The sequence below is a fragment of the Homo sapiens genome, chromosome 12 (assembly GCF_000001405.40).
Source record: "Homo sapiens chromosome 12, GRCh38.p14 Primary Assembly".
Classification (NCBI taxonomy): domain Eukaryota; kingdom Metazoa; phylum Chordata; class Mammalia; order Primates; family Hominidae; genus Homo; species Homo sapiens.
This window is the reverse complement of record NC_000012.12, coordinates 16,253,397-16,278,175: the sequence shown is the minus strand read 5'-3', so window position 1 is coordinate 16,278,175 and position 24,779 is coordinate 16,253,397. Positions and strand designations below refer to the sequence as shown.

The 24,779-nt window shown below is 37.0% G+C and overlaps 1 protein-coding gene and 1 long non-coding RNA gene across 3 annotated transcripts in view; one reads left to right on the top strand and one right to left on the bottom strand.

Annotated features, from left to right (window-relative positions):
- Positions 1–490: 490 nt before the first annotated feature.
- The window catches only part of SLC15A5 (solute carrier family 15 member 5), an 89,201-nt gene continuing 64,912 nt past the window's right edge, over positions 491–24,779 (top strand). The window contains exons 1-3 of the mRNA NM_001170798.1: positions 491–851; positions 5,393–5,615; positions 20,306–20,475. Coding sequence (NP_001164269.1) covers positions 491–851; positions 5,393–5,615; positions 20,306–20,475 — 754 coding nt within the window. The remainder of the gene's footprint in view (positions 852–5,392; positions 5,616–20,305; positions 20,476–24,779) is intronic.
- LOC101928362 (uncharacterized) overlaps positions 1,651–24,779 on the bottom strand; it is a 169,017-nt gene continuing 145,888 nt past the window's right edge. The window contains exons 6-11 of one of the 2 annotated variants that reach the window (XR_001749028.1): positions 6,694–6,745; positions 5,471–5,629; positions 4,740–4,834; positions 3,585–3,651; positions 2,325–2,440; positions 1,651–1,983 (exon numbers count right to left, since the gene is read on the bottom strand). This is a non-coding gene — a long non-coding RNA (uncharacterized LOC101928362). Of the gene's footprint in view, positions 1,984–2,324; positions 3,652–4,739; positions 4,835–5,470; positions 5,630–6,693; positions 8,264–9,350; positions 9,882–24,779 lie in introns of those variants that run through there. The other variant, XR_001749029.1, reaches the window with a different exon arrangement.

Here is a 24,779-nt window from a genome sequence, read left to right as displayed (position 1 = left end):
TCGTGCCCTTCAAAACAGATTTCCTTTTGCGCTTTATCTCTTGGTACTGTTCTGGCTTGTTTAATTAAAGTATCAGAAATTATTAGACTCAAATTATTTCTTGATCTAGTGCTCAAATTCTCCCGAAAACCTGCTTCTTCTGCCTCAATATTTAAACCTTTATCAGTATGAGGCAGATGAGTTTCCACATGTTTGCAACTGGATTCATGTAATTCAATACAATTTTGGAGGACGATCCTAATTTAGCCGCTAAGTAATTAAGCAAACAAATCAGATTTGGGTACACTGAGCTACTGTGAACATTTAAATACTCATGCTCTTGGATCATCAAAAGGAACAACGTCCATGTGCAAAAAACAAACCTTATGAAATTCTAGCATGGAGATGTGAAATTCAAAGCAACGTTCTTATTTTTTTCATCAGAGGGATGGGGCTCAAAATATCACCAAGTTCAAACCACTAACATAAGTTTTGTTCAAGGAGGGTAGTCATGTCTGTTACAGGCTTTACCATAACTGATGAGAAAGTACACTTATATCACAGCATTGAGAAGGAGAAAACTGTAAGACATATTGGCGATTTGTGTTCCTCACACTCTGTGAAAAAAATTCAGGTTGGAATCTGCTTGCTTCTGGTGGAGCTGTGTGAGAGGTTCACGTTCTTTGAAGTCGTCTGCAACATGATCCCCTTTTGCACTATCAAGCTTGGCTATCACAATTGCCAAGCAGCCATCTTAAACTTGTGTTTTATTGGAACTTCAATACTTACCCCTGTGTTTGTCAGATGGCTCACTGATGTCTATTTAGGAAGAAACAAACTGGTGTACATTTGCTTGTTTCTACATTTTCTAGGTGAGTGTCCTCTGCTGACTGGATTGTTTTGTGACTTAATTAAGTAGATTTTTGTTAGAATTTTTAGTTTATATTATTTTCACTCTGCTCTTAGCATAAAATGTGATAAATGAAGTAAGAATGTGGGTTCAATGTATTTCATTCTTTGTACTATTTGAAGAATGCTAGTAAGTCTGTGTGTGTGTGTGTGTGTGTTAGAGAATGTTTTGTGCCTATATCATTGCATTTATATTTTATAATAATTACTCCTTTACATATCTATCTTACTCCTTAGAATGCCCTCCTTTCCCAAAACCTTTTTACCTCAAGCCTAAATTCATGACAAATTCCCTCAGAAATGTGAAATGTATTTGCTTCACAACTAAGATGAAATGTGCTAAAAAAGGTTTTTGAAGTTCATGTAAAATAATTGAGAAATGTTTTTATCCAAAGGTGGTCTTTTAATTAGTCATATAGTAATTAAGATTGCATATGATGGCATGATTTCTATATTTTTAACTATGATTATATGCTTTAGAAATGAGTAAATTAGACACTATAGTGTGCATCTTTACATATATACTAATATATATCTGCAAAAGTTTGGGACCGATTGTGAGAAATGCTGGGAAAATATCAAGATAGTTTAATAAGAAATAGAGAGCAACTTGAAGAACAGACTAGAATTTTAAACTGAAAAGTTCAAGTTATTCTTCTTAAGCAACAAGAAGTCTCTGAAAATATCATGAAAACAACATTTGAGAAATGCTATTCTGCAATACAGGATGGACAACCACAGTGAGGAATTAAATAGAGAGAGATCAGAAAATCTCAGGATGATGGTTTAAGCAATAAAGTGCCAATTCAGGAGAGAACAAGTGAAAAGCTGTAAGGCAACTAAATAAAGGTACAAATGTGATGGGGGTCAAAAATTAGCTCCAAGTTTCTGATCTGAGCAACTTGGGAATATAGCATGCTGTTCACCAATAATGAGAAGTGCAGCTGAAATGAGTATTGGTAGGGGGACAGATGAGAAAGAGATGGATAGATATCAGGTACTCAACATATCACACAATCTCAGGCAGGTGGTAAATTACCATTCAGAGAATCCATTGGAGTTTAAGTCAAACCTGGAAACTTCACAGCTTTAGTTCTGTGGAATAAAAACTAGGTCACTGCATGGCAAATAATCACTCAACATTCAACAAATATTTCTTATTGACTACTCTGTACCAGACATTATTCTGGGTCTGGAAATGCAATAGAGAAGAAAGTCGTCTGTTCCTGCTAAAGTTGACTTTTTGGTGCAGGGAGAGAGAAAATAAAAGAGGAAATAGATATGATGTCATGTGGCAATGAGTTAGGATGGAAAAATAAAGCTGGGTAGGGGGACAGGATGGAATGGATGGTGATGAGGCTGCTACTTGGTACCGAGAAAAAGTTTTCTGATAAGAAGACATTTAAGCAAATCCCAGACTAACTTACTCTGCTTACCTTGGTAACAGGCCACACCAGTAGCATTTGTTGACTTCTTGTTTAACATGGTAATTTCTATCAGTCTAAATTCTGAGGTCAGTCATCAGACAGGATGGAAATCCCAACTTTGGAATCTGGCAAACAAAAGACTTAAGTCAACTCTACATCCATTCATTTTTTTACTAAAAGTTATTTCTTTGTTGCCCTCCACTTACAGCTGCCATCAAATTCCAACTGTCACTAAATTTCAGAGGTTATATATAAGAAAGGTCTTCTGTCTGAATTGCTACTACCCTAGCTGAAAAAATGCAGCTTTCTTCTTTTTAACCATTCCAATGGCCTACTTACTCGGCTGCCAGTTCTCAGTCAGTCTCCAGCTTGTACTCCATTCTACCAACAACACTGACTTCCTGAACAAATAAATCTCTATATTGCTTCTATTATCTAAAAAATGAAATCCAAACTTATTAATTTAGCATACAACAACCTTACCAACCTATTCTAAGTTCACCTCTCTAGACTTGTTGTTCAACACGCAACCCCAACCTTGCTAACTTCTCCTGGCCTCCTTCCCTAGTTTTCTAATCTTGTACATGCTCTTCTCTCTTTCTGAAATTGTCACCTTCCCTTATCTTTCCATCCCTTATCCATGATTGGAAAACTCCTGCTATTCTTTCAAGAACCAAATAGTGTTTGTTGCTAGCTTCTCTGTGTTCAACCACACCCATATAATACTTATACGATTGCATCCATCACTTTATAATATAATTGTCCACCTGCATGGCTGACTTCTCTGATGGACTCAACATTTCCTTCAGCGGACCCCCATCACCTGGCAGGGGGTATGACACATCATGGTGCTTCTACAGAGCTACTAAATGCAGGCATACTGATGATGAGATACACAATTGCACACATCACAGAGGAGACTTTTCTTCATATATGTCATTGTTTTGTCTCTTTACTGCATCATTTTACAACAGATAGGGATAAAGTTTTGATTTAACACAATCAGCCTATTATGACATTTTCTCAAAAGATGGAAGTAAAGTGCCTAAGTTACACAAATATATCATTCAAACTAAAAGTGCCTTGTTCCTAATAGTTCCTGCATGAAATAGTTGTCCTGTCCCTCCTCTTTGGACATCCCTTTGTCTAGCCAGGCCTCACGTCACACCTACAGAAGAGAAGACTAAGTGGTAGAAAGAGAGCAGTTAGTTTCATATCTGGCTAACCTTAAAAGGGAACATTTCAAACTCAATAATTTAAAGGGCTCACCTCATGGTAAATGAATCTGTTGCCAAATAGCTATTAAGGGCATATAGTCTTTACATTGTGAAAGCCTCTGTAGGGGAGATGGAAGCATTAGACCAAATTTTTATCTGTAAGGAATTTATAATCTAATTGAGAAAACAAATCACATGAAATAACTGTATAAAAATTTATACCAAATAACATTAATGCCAAATTAATAAAATGAAGAGCAAAACGAACATGGAGGAGCCATTTTTCACTAATCGAATCATCAAAACAAAAAAATTAATGATGCTAACTAGTATGAATGAAGATCTTCTCATACAATGATGGTAGGAGATTAACTTGTTGCATTGTTAAAGAACATTTGCCAGTGGTATTAAGAAGCAATAAAAATAGGAATGCCTTTGACTGAGAACTTAGGCTAATAAAGATGTGCACAAAACTTATGTGTCAGGGTATTTTACAGTATTCATTTAAAAATAACTGAAAAGGTATTTTAAAACACATTATGATTAGAATATCACATCATCACTAGAAATCATGTTGGAAAAGTATAAAGGTATTTTAAAAATTGTTCATATTATTTGGTTACATTAAAAACTCAACAGTGTAACCTCAATTTATTTAAGTAAAATACATTTATAAAATATATTTATATATAAGTAAAATATTTTTAAGTAAAATATAAATATTTTTAAAATATTTTATTTTATAAAAGTAAAATTATATATGTAAAGATGATCTCTGAGTAATGAGATTATGGGCCTTTTGTATTATTCTGAGTGCTTTCCTCTATTTTTCAAATTTTCTGAAGTAAGAATGTATTACTTTTGTAATCTGATGGGGGGGAATGCTATTTCCAAAAAAAAAAAAAAATTTATTTGACTACTTGATGGTAGGAGGTCCAAGAAGAGGGAGATTACAACTGGGTTACTTTATAACATTGGGCAAGCCACTTAATCTCACTGAACTTATTTCTTTAAAAAAAAATTGAATAAGAAAATCTATCCACTCACATCACAAAGTTTTTCCAAGATGAAACAATATAGTCCATGAGCATGCTTGGCAAAATATAAAGAGCTTAGCAAAAGCATGGAATTGTATAGTTATTTTTATTAGACAAGGAAAGTCATCAAGTGTGGTCCCTGCAAGGTGGAAGAGAGAAGGATACTCGACCTTCTTTTGTCACTTTAGGTCCCCTCTCCTTCCACTCACACTCCTCTGTCCCCAGCTTTCTCAACTCTGTTTGTGGCAAAGAAGGCTCCATCCAGCTGTGTGAGAAATAAGAGAAATAAGAAAGACATTACAAGGAGAAACAGAAGTAGGAAAGAAAAAAAAAAAGGCTGTGTTCTCCTCTAACTCTGATAATGTTCTTCTTAAAAGCTTTTAGGTAATAAGCTTCTGAGATGTGTGAGATCATGGTGTTTTCTGTCACTCGATTGATTAAGAACAAATAACCTTTATTAACAGTGGTTTTCTCTGGGGGTGGGAATACTAACAGCTTCATTTTTTATACAATGCTTTCCTGAGTTATTTTAATTTTGGCAAAATAAACATGATTTGCTCATACATTCTGAGAGAAAACATAGTTCAAGCTTGAGGAGAAAAAAAAAAACCTAAAACTCCGGATTAGTTGAGACACATATTGAAGGAAATTTTTACAATTGGAAAACATCAGGCTATCCCTGAAATTGCAATGACTACCATAAATGTTTGGATAAGACAATCACAAAATGATGCCACTGTCAGAGAAAAACCCTGTTTAAAATGTGATTTGGTGATCCACTTGTTCTATGCTACATTTACTCTTTTTTTTTCTCCACCTACAGGCACTGCTTTGTTATCTGTGGTGGCTTTTCCCTTGGAAGATTTCTATCTGGGCACTTACCATGCAGTTAACAACATACCAAAAACAGAGCAGCACAGGCTGTTTTATGTAGCACTGCTGACCATTTGCCTTGGCATTGGAGGCGTAAGAGCCATCGTCTGTCCACTGGGTGCTTTTGGCCTTCAGGAGTATGGATCACAAAAAACGATGTCTTTTTTTAACTGGTAAGTAGCACTGGCTAGGAGAGAAAAGAGGCTTATGACCATTCTCACTGTTTACTTTCTGATTCCATTTGGGTAGTAGTTGCTCAGTCTTTGTGATGAATTGGGCTAAGTGATGATGTGATGAATCTGTGATGATGATTCAGTCAGTAATCACAGGAGCTTCTAAGTCTCATGCAGACCAGTACAACTCACCAGCACCTTCCCAACACACGCGGACACATTTATCCTCCAGGTAAAAAGATTTGAAGTGCCTTGTCCTGCAGAATAGAATGTGGCTTTGGAACCAAAGAGACCTGGGTGGAAGTCTGGACTCTGCTTAACACAGGCTGACTGACCTTGACCTAGTCATTTATTCTCTACCTCAGTTTATTCATTTCTGAAGGGGGATAATACCTCCTCTTCTCCGGTTTTATTAGAGGTAACACCATGTGTATTGCTGGCAAAGAACTTGGCACATAGTAAGTGATCAAAAAATGGTAGCTGTTAGTATGTCTGTATTGTAATAGACTAATTTGGCAGAGATTATAAATTTCTAGGCCAATGCAGAGAGAAGATGCAAAGATGAAAGAAGTATTTTGCAATTTGTTAAAGCATCACCCAGCATCTCTGTTTCTCACCCAGTTCGCTCCCAACACCTAAAAGAGTTTATATTCCATGAAAATCAAACAGCCTTCCTGTGAATCTTTGTCTCTCCCAACGAGTTCTTATGGAGTTCGTCGGTTTTTGTGTTTTTTAAGGAAACAATTTATATTACCAAATACAAATTCAAGAAAACAAATTAATATATGGATCTTAAGGGAGGGTAGTTAAGAATTTAGTATAAAACTTCTTTGTTATTCTTTGTTATCTATCAGTGGATGTCAAACAGATGTGAGCTACATTGTCCATTTTTAGAGTAAATAGTGTCTATATGTGTATGTATAGGCATATGTAGCTATCCGAGGCAGTTCCTCTTTTCTCTTTCTTTCTTTTTCTTTCTCTTGCTCCCCTTTTTTCTTTCTCCAATTATATTAATATTACAAAGCACTCAGCCCTATTTTGGATTAAGTCCTAATGTCAGAGAACAATGCAGTCTTACCAAAGGTAGAAGGGACTCTTTACTTCCTTGCAGCAAATTCTGCCTCCTTGACCTGCCCAAAGGAGAAAGAAAAATCCTTCTTTTTTATTCTATTCGGAGGTTTTAATCCTTAATTAGCAACATCATTTTGATTAAATAAGACTCTGGAGGATTAAGACTGGAGAGCAATCAGTTGTTCTGAAAGATAGCTCTGGAGAATTTATTGTACTGTGGTCTTAGTCATTCAGAGTTGTGTTTAATCAAAGTGACATTTCTCAGTGTTGATTACAAAGGAGACATTATATGAATGAAATATTTCCTTTGGGAAACAGAGGGGACTCCCACTGGGTGTGTGCTTTAGGGCTTCAGGAAGGGGGATGGGGAATGGGGTGAAAATGAATTTCTGCAGCTGTAAGGAACCAGGCCAAATTTAGGATGAACATATTTAGATTTTTAAAAATTATTTTCTGATTTCACTAAACAGCTCACTATTTTAAAAATTTAAAGCATCTAGAAATGTGTATAAAGAATCAGGCTGTTATTTTTTAATGTGATAAAAGAACTGGATGGTAAGATCCTTGAAGGCTGAATCTGGTTGTCTTGCCTTTTTTTATTTTTCCAGTTTAAATACTAAACTACAGGCCAACTTTTATGAATGTTCACTTACCTTACTGCAGTTTATAGCAATGAATGCTGATTCCATTCCTGTACACAGTGCGGGGGCTGGTGACAAGATGGACAGAGACTCCACTGGGCAACCAGACAGCTGGCAGAATCCTGGCTCTGTCACTTAGGAGTTTTATGGTCTTTGGCAAGTTCCTTAATTCCTCAGAGCCCCAGGTTCCTCATCCACAAAGTGGGAATATCTTGGAGAGCTATTGTATCACTTATATATAAAGTATCCTAGCATATTATAGGTATCAAATTATGATAGCTATTGTTATGATTATTGCTAAATCATGGATAAGCCATCAGCTGAAACCATTGTCTAAATGCTGGGAAAGAGGGAACCCATTTAGGAGGAGGTCATCTTTGAAAGGAGCAGTTTATTAATGTGTAATCTATGTCTTCCAGTCAAAAATGCCTCTAGAAATTACAAGACTGGTAAATATAACGAATTTCAGCCGTGCCTTTAAAAAACAACATACCCCTTGAATCTGTAACCACTTGAAGGCTTTATTCAGTCCTATTTGCAGCACAGATGTCAGATGTTCATAGTTATGGGACCTTTAATGAGATGTGTCATTGCTTCTATACCACCTAAAGCTTCCCAATGATCATGTTAAGTAGCATAGACTGGAAGTCTCAGGCACTGAAAGCACCACTTCCGAGTAAAGCTGCCAAATGTAGGTGAGAAAACCACTCCCAGCCAACATTACCATCTGGTACTGGATCTTCCTCAACTAATGCACCTCACTACAAAAATAAAGCTAAACTCCCTGAAATCAAGAGACATAATAATCTGCCAACATCCTTGTGTCATTATCCAGATCAGAGCCTGGCTTTCCACATATTCCAAAAGCTGAGATGGACAATTAAGAATCGCCATACTGGAGATCACCTAGGTAAATACACCTGTGCAGATTCTTTTCTGGAAGCAAAAAGAAGGAGGATAATGAAGTCTGTTCCTGGCCACAATTTTAAATTCTACCACAATTAACCTCAAATCTTGCTTCTGCATTTCTCTACTTTCTTCACCTGATAATTTGCATCCTATCTGCATATCACAGTCTGTTGCTAAGGGGTTACTAGGGTGAATTATATACATGATTAAAAGCCCAAATAGAATATTGGTAAAGTTCTTGAAGAAAGTCTAGAGACTGACTTATTTCACCCCAGAAATGTTGACTATCTGGTACTCAAATTGACTCTACATGGTATCTGAAATATTCTGATTTTAACACTTACTCAAATTAAATATATTTTATCTTAGGGAAGCACTAGAGGTAAAAATGTATTATCCCACAGCATTTTTCCAGAATCTATTTTAATATTCACAAGAACATTGAGAACAATGATTGTCAATCCTAGGTGCATATTAAAGCCACCTGAGGATTCTTTTTTAAAAAGTACAAATGCCTGGGTCCTGCCACCAAAGATTCTGATTACATTGGTTAGAGGTAGGATCCAGGGACCAGGATTTTTTAAAGCTGCCCAGTTAGAGTTGAGAACCACTGTTCCAACGCAGTGTTGCTCATTTTAATTATCACTTGAGAACCTTGTTGAAAATGTTTCCCAGGTCCCACCTCGAACCTCCTGGATCAGAATTTTCTGGGAGGACAGGTGGGAAATGCATATTTTAAACAAGTACTGTCTTAGTCTATTCAGGCTGCAATAACAAATCAGCAGAGATTGGCTGGCTTATAAATAGTAGAAATTTATTTTTCACAGCTCTGGAGGCCAGAATTCTGAGATCAGGGTTCTGGTGAGGGTTCTCTTCCTGGCTGTAAGACTGCTGGCTTCTCACTGTGTCTTCACATAGTGGAAGGGGCAAAGGAGCTCTCGGAGGTCTCTTTTATAAAGGAACTAATCCCATTCAGAAGGGTTCCACCCCTATGAGCAAAAGCCCCACCTCCCAAATACACCACTCCCTAATACCATTGTTATAGGAGGTATAACACCTAATACCAAGTTAAGATTTCAACATATGAAATTTGAGGGGACAGAAATATTCCTACCATATCAAGTACTTCAGGTGATTCAGAAGAACAAAGTTTGAAAACAACTCCAGAGCCATAAGGAAAATCTAGTGATGCCTTTGAAAAGAAATGAAACTAATCATTGATTGAACCCACTACTGTGTTTCAGACTGCTTTGGAACTTTCTGACAATTTTATAGCAATTATCTCACATTTAGAAATCTGCCTGATTGAGAAATTCAACATAATTCTGAAAAGAGAGAGAAAAAAATATAAATCTACATATACTCTTCAATCGTAAAATCATAATTTATAAGGTACATTTCAGCAAACAAAATCAAAGCAGTTCATGAAATAATCTTATTAATACTCAAAATGTCCTTTGAGTTGCATGCTGAGGAGTAGTAGCTTGTAAATAGCTATGAAAAAATCACCAGACCTTCCCAAATTCTATTTGCACTGGCTCTAGCCAAGTTTAACAAATGCTACCCTCTCACCCTAATAACAACAAGCACTTCCTTCTTTACCTTTGCGATCTGAGCTCACTGCAACCTCCGTCTCCCGGGTTCAAGCAATTCTCCTGCCTCAGCCTCCCAAGTAGCTGGGACTACAGGTTCATACCACCACGCCAGCTAATTTTTTTGCATTTTAGTAGAGATGGGGTTTCACCATGTTGCCCAGGCTGGTCTCAAATCCCTGAGCTCAGGCAATCTGCCCACGTTGGCCTCCAAAGTGCCAGGATTACAGGCATGAGCCACAGAGCCGGGCGCATGTTCTCTTTTAAGCTTGAAAGGTACATGAGTCAGGACAACTGTTAAAATTTGGGTGTTGGCCAGGCACAGTGACTCACACCTGAATCCCTGGGCTCTGGGAGGCCTAGGCAGGAGGATCACTCAAGGCCAGGGGTTCGAGACAAGCCTGAGTAACCCCATCTCTACCAAAAAAACATTTTTTTTTAATTACCCAGGCATGGTGGGGTGAACCTGTAGTCACATGTACTTGAGAGGCTGAAGCGGAAGAATCGCTTGAGCTCAGGAGGCTGAGATTACAGTGAGCTGTGAACACCCTGCACCAGTCTAGTCTGGGTGACAGAGTGAGACCCTATCTCAAAAAAAAAAAAAAAAAAAAAAAGGTGGGGGGTGGGCGGGGGTTGTTGGCAAAAGAATGAGGGAATGGGAAAGGAGGGAGAGGGAATGGGAAAGGACAGAAAGGGAATGAAACAGGTTAAAGAGTAAGAGAGGTAGGGAGAGCTTGGGAGAGAGAGTAAAGCAGTCCCCCAAATTTTTAAATTAAAAACTTAACTTCTTCAATCCTAATGTCTAGTTACCAAAATCAATATTTTATTAAATTGTCTTTAACAGCTCTGCTGGAAAAAAAAATATGTATTTACAGATAAAAAGGAACTCTAAAGTTTCTATTTTCCCCTTCTTTCTCCAAATATTTGGCTGCCAGAATATTCTTTGAAGTACTTCAGTGGCCAATGGTTATGCTAAAAGAAGCAATGATTGACAACAGCCATCCACCATGAAATCGGTGCCCAAGTATTTTATTTCACTGACTCCTCTAAACAGTTCAGTTTTATCCCACTGAAGAGTCACAAATCCCCTGGAAAATTATCTGAACATTGATCAATGTCGAATAAAATACTTTCTCTGGAATATTTAAATGGTACACTAATGCTATGAAGACCTGAAACTTATAGAAAATTTGCCTTCTTTCTTTGATACTGTCTCAGATTAGGAAAGACCATTTAAATAATTTCTCTTCAAATCACCAAAAGTAAACACGAAGCACATCAAAACTGGCCAGTCTAAGAAATGACAAAATATTTGAGTAATTTAAATTTATTACTAAATTAATTAAGTGAATGTTTAAAATAATCTCATAAGGATTGCTGAGTTTTGCAGCAACAATTTTTCTCATTTGTATTCAATACCATGCAATCATGAAGACAAAAAAATTACCACTTATATATACTCCCAATTATTTGCAGTTCTCAGTCTGTATTTAAAAGTAGGCTAAAGAAACATATTTTTACTGCTGCTTTCAATTTTCCTTAATCACTGGTATTTGTTTTGCTTTAGTGCTTTGCTCTCTGACTTTTTGTGTGAGAGGTGCTTTATAAATTCAATTTGCTAGTGAGCTATGAGATGAAAGGAGTCTTAATGGTAAGTTTGAAGACTGTGGGTTTTTATTTCTTTTTTTTATAGATGATACATATACAATTTCATCCTTAATTATCTGTGGCTTGTCCTGTCCATGGATCAACAAAGACATATATAAAACATGACTGTACTAGGTAATTCTTTCAGAAAATTACACAATCAAATATGTTGGGTGGCATTTGTTAAAATACATTTAGTACTTCATGTAAAATCTCTTCCTAGACATACATATTCAGTACTATAATTTTTGGTTTCTAACTACATTTCACAAGATTTAAGTCTTGGAATAGTTGTAATTTTCCTTGACCCTCTTTAGAGCAATGCAGTTTACATCACCATGTGGTATACTGAAGAGTCACACGGTGTTCCCTGAGATTTTCTCAACAATGCTTAACTTTTTAAAAAGAGTTTCCTAAAGACTGAAAGCACTGTAACAGTGCTTTTGGCTCCAGATTCTCTGTGTTGCTACAGCCACAAGTCAAGTGTACAGCTTGCAGCAGCAAGAAAGGACAACCTGTGGCTTAGCCTAGGGACTCCACCCAGTTGTCCTAGAAAATTATAACTTTTTGTACCTCACCTACCTTATGATAAATACATTTAGTGGATCACAGTAAATCAGTTTGCTCAATGTGGTCACGTTCCATGTTCTATCACTTTCTAGGCCAATTATTGAGAGGTTTTAGTTTTTTTACGTTGTGTTTGTTTGATTAATTGATTTTTATGAGATGCCATATTATTAATCTGTTATTTAATCTCCATTTATTTTGAACCTAGTACTGTGCTAGGTCTCATGGAGATAAAGAAATAAAGAATAAAATCTTATCATCAAGGAGCTTCACAATCTATAAATGAAAAGCAAAACTGACAAAAATGAAATAATTGAAGAAAGAGTATTTTCTTTAGAAGTTCAGAGAAGAAGCTGGGTGTAGTGGCTCATGTTTCTAGTCCCAGCACTTTGGGAGGCCAAAGCGGGTGGATTGCTTGAGCTCAGGAGTTCAAGACCAGCCCGGGCAAAATGGCAAAACCCCATCTCTACAAAAAATACAAAAAAAAATTAGCTAGGCATGGTGGTGTGCACCTGTGGTGCCAGCTACTCGGGAGGCTGAGGCAAGAGGATCACTTGAGCCCAAGAAATCAAGGCTGCAGTGAGTCAAGGTCATGCTACTGTACTCCAGCCTAGTCAACAGAGTGAGATAATGTCTCAAAAAACAAAAAAGTTTACAGGAGAGAACAAGCAGAATATTCAAGAAAGTATTTAATGAAGGAAAAGAGACTGAATATAGGACTTTGAAAGTGAGACAGGGCAAGCCAAGAAATAGGACAAGTTAAGGAGACAAACATGAGTAGGTCTGTTTCTGGGACAGTGAGCAGACTAGCTCAACTTCACACATCTTTCCAAACACATATCACATATCTATCCACTTCTATCTCTTTTCTTTGCTACCACCATGGCCCAGTTTGCTCTTAGCTCTCATCCAGACTTACAATAGCTGTGATTTTCTCCATACCTTGCTACAATAGCTGTGATTTTCTCCCTACCTTGCCGCATCTGCAATTCATGAAGCTGACACAATAATCTTTCCACTGAAAACAAGATCATATGAGACCCCTGCTCAATTCCCTTCAAATGACTTCCCAATGCACTGAAAATAAAACCCAAACTTCTTGCCATGAACTTCAAGGCCCTAAATAACCTGGACCACACTTCCTGGTTTATCTTTTCTTCTAATATTTCATCCCTTAATCACTGTATTAGTCCACTTTCATGCTGCTGATAAAGACATACCCAAGACTAGGAAATTTACAAAAGAAAGAGGTTTAATTTGACTTACAGTTCCATGTGGCTGGAGAAGCCTCATAATCATGGTGGAAGGCAAGGAGGAGCAAATCATGTCTTACACAGATGGCAGCAAGCGAAGAGAGAGCTTGTGCAAAGAAACTCCCCTTTTTAAAACCATCAGATCTTGTAAGACCTATTCACTATCACGAGAACAGCATGGGAAAGATGTGCCCCCATGATTCTATCATCTCCCACCTGGTCCCTCCCACAACATGTGGAAAATATGGGAGCTACAAGATGAAATTTGGATGGGGACACAGAGCCAAACAATATCATTCTGCCTCTGGCCCCTCCCAAATCTCATATCCTCACATTTCAAAACCAATCATGCCTTCCCAACAGTCCCCCAAAGTATCAACTCATTTCAGCATTAACTCAAAAGTCCACAGTCCAAAGTCTCATCTGAGACAAAGCAAGTCCCTTCCATCTATGAGCCTGTAAAATTGAAAACAATTTAGTTACTTCCTAGATATAATGGGGGTACAGGTATTGGGTAAATACAGCCATTCCAAATGGGAGAAATTAGCCAAAACAAAGGGGCTACAGGCCCAGTGGAAGTCCAAAATGCAGCAGGGTAGTCAAATCTTAAACCTCCAAAATGATCTCCTTTGACTCCATGTCTCACATTTAGGTCATGCTAATGCAAGAGGTGGGTTCCCATGGCCTTCAGCAACTCTGCCCCTGTGGCTTTGCAGGGTACTGCTTCCCTCCCAGCTGCCTTCACGGGCTGGCATCCAGTGTCTGCTGCTTTTCCAGGCACACGGTGCAAGCTGTCAGTGGATCTACCATTCTGGGGTCTGGAGGCCAGTGGTTCTCTTCTCACAGCTCCAGTAGGCAATGCCCCATTAGGAACTCTGTGTGGGTGCTCTGATCCCACATTTCTGTTCCACACTGCCCCAGCAGAGGTTGTCCAAGAGGGCTCTGCCCCTGCAGCAAACTTCTGCCTGGACATCCAGGTGTTTCCATACATCTTCTGAAACCTAGGTGGAGGTTCCCAAACCTCAGTTCTTGACCTCTGTGCACCCACAGGCTCAACAACACATGGAAGCTGCCAAGGCTTGGGGTTTCCATCCTCTGAAACAGCAGCCTGAGCTGTACCTTGGCCCCTTTTAGTTATGGCTGGAGCAGCTGGGACACAGGGCACCAAGTCCCTAGACTACACACAGCACAGGGACCCTAGGCCTGGCCCACAAAACCATTTTTGCCTCTTAGAACTCTGGGCCTGTGATGGCAGGGGTTGCCATGAAGACCTCTGACATGCCCTGGAGAGACATTTTCCCCATTGTCTTGGGGATTAACATTTGGTTTCTTGTTACTTATGCAAATTTCTGCAGCGGGCTTGAATTTCTCCTAAGAAAATGGGATTTTCTTTTCTATTGCATTGTCAGGCTGCAAATTTTCCAAACTTTTATGCTCTGCTTCCCTTATAAAACTGAATGCCTTTAACAGCACCCAAGTCACCGCTTGAATGCTTTGCTGCTTAGAAATTTTTTCTGCCAGATGCCCTAAATCATCTCTCTCAAGTTCAAAGTTCCACAAATCTCTAGGGCAGGGGCAAAATGGTGCCAGTCTCTGCTAAAACATAACAAGAGTCACCTTTGTTCCAGTTTCCAAGTGTCTCATCTCCATCTGAGACCACTTCAACCTGGATTTCATTGTCCATGTCATTATTAGCATTTTGGTCAAAGCCATTCAACAAGTCTCCAGGGCATTCCAAACTTTCCCACATTTTCCTGTCTTCTGAGCCCTCCAAACTGTTCCATCCTCTGCCTGTTACCCAGTTCCAAAGTCACTTGTGCATTTGCAGGTATCTTTTCAGCAGTGCCCCATGCTACTGGTACCAATTTACTGTATTATTCTGCTTTCACACTGCTGATAAAGACATACCTGAGACTGGGCAATTTACAAAAGAAAGAGGTTTAACTGGACTTACAGTTACACATGGCTGGAGAGACCTCACAATCATGGGAGAAGGCAAGGCGGAGCAAGTCACATCTTATATAGATGGCAGCAGGCAAAGAGGGAGCTGTGCAGAGAAACTCCCATTTTTAAAACCATCATATCTTGTTAGACCCATTCGCTATCACGAGAGCATCACAGAAAAGACCCGCCCCCATGATTCAATCATCTCCAATTGGGTCCCTCCCACAACATGTGGGAATTATGAGAGCTACAAGTTGAGATTTGGATGGGGACAGAGAACTAAACCATATCACTCACTATGTTCCAACTTCACTGCTATTTTTGTTCCTGAAATCAGGGTTGGAGAAAAATGAACATTTGATGATGACATTGGCTTAGCACCATGTAGTTATAATCCATGTTCTTCATTTAATGTTCTTCATTAAAATTCTTAACAAAAAACCTTGTTTAGAGGGTGTGATTACAATTTTTAAAATTCCAGAGAGTAGAAGATCACAGACCATGTGATTTTCAGATTTTGTGACTCTAACTCATGTCTTTGGACTACCAGTCTGAAGAGGCAGGACAACATTTACAGTTAATGATTGATATATAAAATGTGATGAGAGGAATGAGAGGAATGAGAGGAATGAAAGGTAATTTCAAATGTTAAAGGCTGCATTAACAAGAAAATGATAGTGTCATGAAATTGATAACTGCAAAGATGCAGAAAGAAGTATTAACAGGATATTTAGCCGAATTAGCCCTGTACCAGGATGATGGCTTCTGCTCATGGCTCTACAAGCAACACAGCTGTGTGAATTTGGATGAGTCATTTCAGTTCTCCCAGTTCAGATTTCTTCTCTGAAAGAGAGGGAGAAAAGTTTTCTGACCTCAGTTTAGGCAATGATTTCTGAGAAACAATTCTAAAAGGACGATCCATGAAAAAAAATTATAATAGGACTTCATCACAATTAAGAATTTCTGCTTTTCAAAAGACACTTTTAATAGAATGAAAAGACAAGCCACAGACTGGGAGAAAATACTTACAAATCACATAATTGAGAAAGGACTTATAGCCAGAATACATAAGGACAGAAATTTCACCAAAGAAGATATGCAGATGGTCAATAAGCACATGAAAAGATGCTCAACATCATTAGTCATTAGGGAAATGCAAAATAAAACCACAATGATATACCAGTACACATGTAGTATACCAAGTTTTGGCAGGGATATGAAGAGATTAGAACTCTCATACACATGTTGTGATAATGTAAAAATGTTACAACTACTTAAAAACTATTTGATATTTTCTTAAAATATTAAATATACATCTATCATATCACCCAGCCATTACACTCCTAGGTTTTAACCAAGAGAAATTAATGTCTATGTCTGTTCAAAGGCTTGTATATGAATGTTCTTAACAGCGTTATTTGTAATAGCAATAAGCTGAAAAAGTCTATTAACAGATAAATGCATAAACAAACAGTGGTACATTTACATAATGGAATAGTACTTGGCAACAGAGAGGAATGGGTACAGATAAATATACTAACATGGATGAATCTCAAAATAATTATGCTAAGTGAAAGAAGCCAGATTAAAAAATACAGATAATTTAATACTTTTTTCTAAATCTATGAATTGCAAACTAATTTATAGTGGCAGAAAAAAGATCAGTGGTTTCCTGGAGATGAGGAAGGGGAAATGAGAAGGGGTAAGAGGAAGGATGACAAAGGGATGTGACTGAGCTTTAGAAGCAATGGATATGTTTGTTATCTTGAATGTCGTAATTATTTTGTGTGTACATACATATTCAAAACATAAAATTGCACACTTCAAATATATGCAGTTTACTGCATCTCAATTATATCTCAATAAAGCTCTTTAAAAAAAAAACAAGAGAAAAGAAAGTAACAGTAACCAAGACAGTATGGTATTGGCATAAGGATAGATTAGTGGAACAGAACTGAGAGTCAGAAAATACACCTACATTTGTATGGTCAATTGATTTTCAACAAAAGTGTCAAAAGATCACTGAGGAAAAGATCATCTTCTCAATAAATGGTATTGTAATAACTGAATATCCATATAGGAAATAATTACCCCATGACACTCTACTAAAATTAATTCAAATTAGATTATTAACTTTATATGAGATCAAAACCCATAAAAGTGATCTAAAAAAAAAAACGGGAAAATACTTGTGACTTAGGTTTAGAAAGTATTCTTTACATGGGACACAAAAAGTATGAACCAATAAAGATAAAAATTGATAGACTAAAATTTATTAAAATTTTAAACTTTTTCTTATCAAAAGATATCATTGAGAAAATGAAAAGGAAAACCCCAGATTATAAGAAAACATTTGTAGAACATGTATCTGACAGATGACATGCATCCAAAATATATGAAGACCTTTGACAAATCAATGATAGGAAAAGAAACTACCCAATAAAAAAAAAAAAGAGGATTTCCAGTATTAGCCAATATGAGAAGAGCCCTATTTCTCCCAAGTACTTCTTACATTGAAAAAACCCGAACTTAACACAACAAACGAACGTAGGGAGATTCCAAAAGGTGGAAAGAAGACAGTCTCTTCCTAGGGGCTTTTGAACTTGAGGAAGGACAATAATGAATTTCCTGGGTTTTCTTTTTGTTATCAGTGGGGCTATGGAAAAACCTAGAACCTGGAACCAGGTACAGATGGGTAAGAGCCGAGGTGTGGCAAGTAATGGGCAGCTCCAAAAAAAGTCCTGCTCCCCTTACACAAAGTATTAGGGAAAAGGTAGACTAATATAGCAGAAAATATTTTTGACAATATCTGTCCTTCTCTAGCCAAACACTATTAAAAACACTGCCTCCCCTGCATATTCCTGGCCTAATAGTTTCAGCAGACATGAGCAAGACTTAATATTTTACATTAACACTTGGAGAATCACACAGGAACACTCTGATTCCCAAGTCGGGTGATGTTGCTGAGGCCAAGTGAGGAACTTGTCTTGGATCTCCTGCCCAGCAGAAACTGGAAGTGCTCTAACTTACCCCCCGCCCGGGTGGTGTCAGCTGGGTACAGCAAGGAGTTGAGCCTCCACTCTCAACCAGAAAGTATGCAGCAAGGCTAGTCTCCAATTAATTAGCAATAATATTCCATGTCTTCAATTATTTTTCCCTCCCCATCCCCCCAGCTTACTTTGTCATACTCTCCTGTGTGATGGAGGAAATAATCTTAGTTAAAATTCAACTCTCCACTTATTCCATTATTGTACTCACACAGCAACAAGTCTGAGAAAAATGCAAAATTATACTATGATCGCATTAAGTTCATGACCACCAAACTGGTTCCTTATCATTGCCTAGCAAGTATATGATGCCCAATTTCTCTCCTTCTCCTTCAGATTACAACTTCTAAACATTTTCTTTCTTCTCAAACCTTCAATATTCCCTTTCCATAGCCAGTTCTACCTGTTGTCTGTACTTCTCCTTTTACTTAGAGGAAATAGAGGGAAATAAGGGAAGGAAGGAGGGAGGAACTGGGGGAGGGAGGGACGAAGGAAGGAAAGAAGGAAGGAACAAGGAAGGAAGGAAGGAGGGAAGAGAGGGAGGGAGTGAGGGAGGAAAGGAGGGAAGGAAAGAATGAAGGAAAGGAAAAAGAAAAGGGGAGGGGAGAGAAGAGGAGAGGAGAGAGGAATCAGATGTGCAGCCTGGGCAACACAGTGAGACCTCATCTCTACTAAAAATAAAAAAAAAAATTACCAGGTATGGTAGTGCGTGCTTGTGGTCCCAGCTACTTGAGAGAAGCTGAGGCAGTAGGATTCCTTCAGCCTGGGAGGTCAAAGCTGCAGTCAGCCATGATTGCACCACTGCATTCCAGCCTGGGTGACAGAGTAAGACTTTGTCGCAAAAAAAAAAAAAAAAAAAAAAAAAGGAAAGAAAGAAAAGAAAAAGAAAAAAAAAAAAAGAAAAAGAAGATGTGGCAGACATGCCCCAGGATGACCCCCAGTGGACCACACTTGTTTGGACCCATCCCCCTGAGTGCAGGCACAACTTGTAACCCAATTCTAACCAATAGAATATGGGAAAGATTATGGGATATCACTCCCCTAATTATGTTATATGGCAAAGGTGAAATGATTTTGCAGAGATAATTGGGGTTTCTCATCAGTTGACTTGAGTTGATCAGAGCCCAGATTATACTGGGTGGGTCTCATCTAATCACATAAGCCCTTTAAATTTTAATGATAGTGTAAGTGTACTAAGGCTTATCTAAAATTTTAATGATAGTGTAAGTGTACTAAGGCTTGCACAACTGAAACACTTAAAAAAACTAATATGTATATAAGTTATATATGTAAATGAGTAAATTTTATTGCATTTAATTTTACGTCAATTTTTTAAGTAAAAGTTAAGATCTCTTCTTTGCAATGGGATTCTAATGGCAAGATTTATACCCAGTGAAAGGTTGAGAGGTAGAGATGATTTTCCCAGAACTTGCAAACCAGACTACTGGGGTAGGTACCTCTCTGTGATACTAATCATTGGGAAGAAAAATGGAAAGTTTTATTCAAATGTCACTCATTTCTTCAGTTACATGCTATTCTAAGTATAACCCAGATATTTCTGAGTATTTGTGTTTTCCTATACTTTGAAAACTGGAATATACAGGAAGGATTAACTTTTTAATCCTTCCAGTTTCATTAGGGGTATTTGAATGATTAAGTGTTGTCTATAGCTTCTTTAGCACCACAGTGCTACAGAGACTGTATGGCCTGCAAAGCCTAAAATATTTACTATCTATTCAGCCCTTTAGAGAAAAATTTTGCCAACCTCTGATTTAGATGAAAGAGAGCGCCTTCTTTCTATATCGATTCTAAACAAGGATAAAACAAAGATAATGAAACTGCTAAGTCAGGGCTGATGTTTATATACTTAAGAAATCTGATAAACAACATTTGCAAAATTGGGTTCAGTTAACATGCCATCATTTGGTAGTTTACATTTGATTAGAAGCATTAAAATTAGCAATAGTTATCTAAAGCAATTCAATGGTATTTTTATTTTTGTCTGTCTGTATACCCCAGGTTTTATTGGCTCATGAACCTAAATGCAACTATTGTGTTTCTGGGAATATCTTACATCCAGCACTCACAGGCCTGGGCCCTTGTTTTACTTATTCCTTTTATGTCTATGCTTATGGCTGTGATAACTCTTCATATGATATACTACAACCTAATTTATCAGTCAGAAAAACGTAAGTAAATTATGCGTTACATTGATTTCTGGGTTTATATTGTTTTCTTGACAGATATCCTTTCTCTTTGATTCTTTATAACTTCTCTTTCAACTCAGAATTTGAAAATTGTGTCAGATATTACCCTTGATAAAGCAATGGTCTGCAAGAATATTTTTAAGTAAAAATTAAGACTGCTTCTTTGCAATGGGATTCTAATGGCAAGATTTAGACCCAATGAAAAGTTGAGAGGTAGAGATTCCTCTTCTCCCCATCTTCCTTTTTTCCCTGGTTGAAAAAATTTTAATAATGGAATATCTTAAGCATAAACAAAAGTAGATAAAGACTATACATGAACCTCACCTAGGTAGCTCTGAGCTTCAGCAATTATCAACTCATCTTCACTCACTTTTTCTTCTTCTCACCCGGGTAATTTTCAAGCAAAAACTAAATATTATAGCATTTCTTATTCTTGTATTTTGTTATATTTATTTATATGTAATATATTATGTAGGTGTATGCATACATAAAAGTTAAATTCCATTTGAAAAACATAACCACAATGTCATTATCAATCTCTCTCTCTCTGTCACACACACCCACATATGTGTTTGTGGAGGAAGAAAATTTCTTAACACCATCAAATATCTAGTCACTGTTAAAATCTCCAATTGTTTCCTTTTTGAAATTTGTTTTTTTGTTTTATAGTTTGTTCAAATCAAATCCAAAAAAGGTTTAAACATTCCAAATGCCAGATATGTCCAGAAACTATCTATCTATCTATCTATCTATCTATCTATCTATCTATTCCCCATGCATCTCTATCTCTATTTAATTTATTATTATTATTATTTTTTTTTTTTGAGACGGAGCCTCTCTCTGTCGTCCAGGCTGGCGTGCAGTGGTGCGATGTCCGCTCACTGCAAGCTCCGACTCCCAGGTTCACGCCATTCACCTGCCTCAGCCTCCCGAGTAGCTGGGACTACAGGTGCCCGCCACCACGCCTGGCTAATTTTTTGTATTTTTAGTAGAAACGGGGTTTCACCGTGTTAGCCAGGATGGTCTCGATCTCCTGACCTCGTGATCTGTCCGCCTCAGCCTCCCAAAGTGCTGGGATTACAGGCGTGAGCCACCACGCCCGGCCCCTAATTTATTATTTTTTAAAAAGAAATCTTAACATTTCTTAGAGCATTTCCCATAGTCGGGATTTTGTGAATTGCATCCTCATAGTGCTTTCCCTCTGTATTTCCCGTAAATTTTCTAACAGACCTAGATACTCGCAGATTCAGATTTTATTTTGGTCAAATTTCTTCATAGGTGGCATTATGTACTTTAATTAAGAGGCATAATGTCTGTTTTTGCAGAGTTAGCATTCATTGATGATTTTTGCCCAAATCCAATATTTTATTGAGGATTGCAAGGTGATCATATTCTATATTTCTTCCTCTTTTACTAGCTGAAATAGTTTCATAAAGACAGGTATCTCCTCATCAGCTAGTTACATTGAGGTATAGTATATGTAATAAAAAGAAGATAAACATTTAATTATTTCCTTCTATCTATAGATTTGCAAATTATTGAGTTGAATTTCAACATTCTGCTAATGTAACTATTAGGATTTCTTTAAAAAAACTATGATTATGAATTTATGCTCTTAAGCATTTTTTATGTATTTTAATCTACTACAGCTAGTGATTCTCAAATTTGTTTCCATACTTGGACAGTGAAGTCCCCTTCATGTTGGTACCTTAGTCGTTCAGATAAGCCTCTTGCTGTTTTTCATTGCTTCCTTTGTTTTATGGATTATCCTTCCATTTTTAAATAAATGCAAATATTAAAATATGTGTGGGTGCATGTAGGCATATATATTGTCTGCCCTTTTGATGTAAGAAGTAACATATAATTCACACTTTTCTCACTTGCTTTTTTTTTACTTAGTATAGTTTAGGGATCATTTTATAATTGTATATTCATCGTGTAACAAACTATCATTTATTTTACCAGTTCCATATGGATAGACATTTGGGTTTTTTTTTACATTTGCCATATTAAGTAGATTCTAACAAATAGCTTGGTGCATGTTTCTCTTTGCTTTTCTTTTTTGCCAGTGTATCTTTAGGATAGATTCCTAGAAGTAATATTGCCAAATCAAAAGTAAGTCCATATATAATTTTTCTATATGTTGCCAAATTCCTTTCTATAGTGGTTGTGGCACTATTTTGTATTTCTACCAAAAATGTACAAGAATGCCTTTTTCCCCACAGCCTCTCAAACAAAGTATATTGTCAAACTTTGGGATTTTTGCCAATTTGAGAGTGGAAAATGGTATCTTGCTGTGGTTTAAATTTGCATTTTTCTTATTTTGAGAAGAGGTGAGCATCTTTTCATTGCCTTAGAGCATTTTGAATTTCTTTTTCAGTGAATTACCTGTTCATGTTTCTAGTTCAACTTTTCTATAGGGTTGTGGTATTTATTGTGGTAAAAAAACACATAATATAAAATTTACCATCTTTATCATTTTTTTCTGAGTGTATAAGATGAACATGTAATTTTCAGCTCAGGCATTCAGCTATCAGGACTATTTATTGTAGCTTTTAACTGATAATAATAATTGTACATATTTACGAGGTACATAGTGATGTTTCAATACATATAAGGTATAGTAATCACATCAGGGTAATTGGCAGATCCATCATTTCAAACATCATTTCTTTGTGTTGGGAAAATTCAATATCCTTCTTCTAGCTATCTAAAACTATATAATATTTTATTGTTAACTATAGTCATCCTACAGTGGTATAGAACACTAATACGTATTCCTCCTACCTAGCTATAATTTTGTGTCACTTAATAAATCTCTCCCTTGCCCCTATGCTTCCCAGCCTCTAATATCCTCTGTTCTACGTTTTACTTCTTTGAGATCAGCTTTTTCTGGCTTCCACATGTAAATGAGAACATGCAATGTTTAACTTTCTCTTGGCTTATTTCACTTAACATAATGTCTTGCAGTTTCATTCATTTATCCAAAGGAAGGAAAATCAATACATCAGAGACATTTGCACCCTCATATTTATTGCAGCACTACTCACAATAGCTGAGATATGGAATCAGTCTAGGCATCCAACAACAAATGAATGAATAAAGAAAATGTGGTATCTATACACGATGGAATACTATTCAGCCATAAAAAGGAATGAAATCCTGTCATTTGCAGCAACACCAGTAGAACTGGAAGACATTGTGTTAAGGGAAATAAACCATCTTAATCATTTTAAGTGTACAGTTCAGTAGTGTTAAGTATATTCATATTGTTATGCAATGGATTTCTAGAACTTTTTCATCTTGCCGCAACACTAAAGCTGTATACCCACTAAACACTAATTCATCCTCCCCACTCCTCCTAGTCCTTGGTAAATGCTTTTCTACTTTCTGTTTCTATTTTTTGACTGCTTTAGCTACTTCATATGAGTGGAATCATATTATTATTATTATTTCAAAGACAGGGTCTTTGTCCTTTTAAGACTACTCACTTAGCCTAATATCCTCAACGTTTATCCATGTTGTAGCATCCTGTCACATGCTACAACATGGATATACCTTGAGAATATTAGGATATTAATACCACATAACATTCCATTTTATGTATATACCACATTTTCTTTATTCACTTGTCTAACAATGGACATGTGGGATGTGTCTAGCTCTTGGCAAATATAAATAATGCTGAGATGAATGAGGGTATGTAAATATTTCCTCAGAATCTCACTTTGAATTCTTATGGATATATACTCAGAAGTGGGATTGCTGAATCATATAGTAGTAATTCTACTTTAAAGTTTTTGAGAACTCTTTTTACTGCTTTCCACAATGGCTGCACCATTTTACATTTCCACCAACAGTGCACAAGGGTTACCCACAATTTCTCCACATCCTCGTCAACGCAGTATTTTTCTGATCTTTTAATACTGCCCACCTTGAATGATGGCTATGAAGTGACATCTTCTTATTATTATTTCAAAGACAGGGTCTCCCTATGTTGCCTAGGCTGATCTCAAAATCCTGAGCTCAAAGGATTTTCCCACCTCATCCTCCCAAAATGCTGGGATTAGAAGTGTGAGCCACGGCACCCAGCCTCATTATGGTTTTGATTTGCATTTCCCTAGTAATTAGTGATGTTGAGCATCTTTTCATGTGTGTATTGGCCATCTGTAAATCTTCTTTGAAGAAAATTCTATTCAAGTCCTTTGGTCATTTTTTAAACAGGTTATTTGAGGTTGGGGGGATTTTTCTTAAGTTGTAGAAGTTCATTATATATTCTGGATATT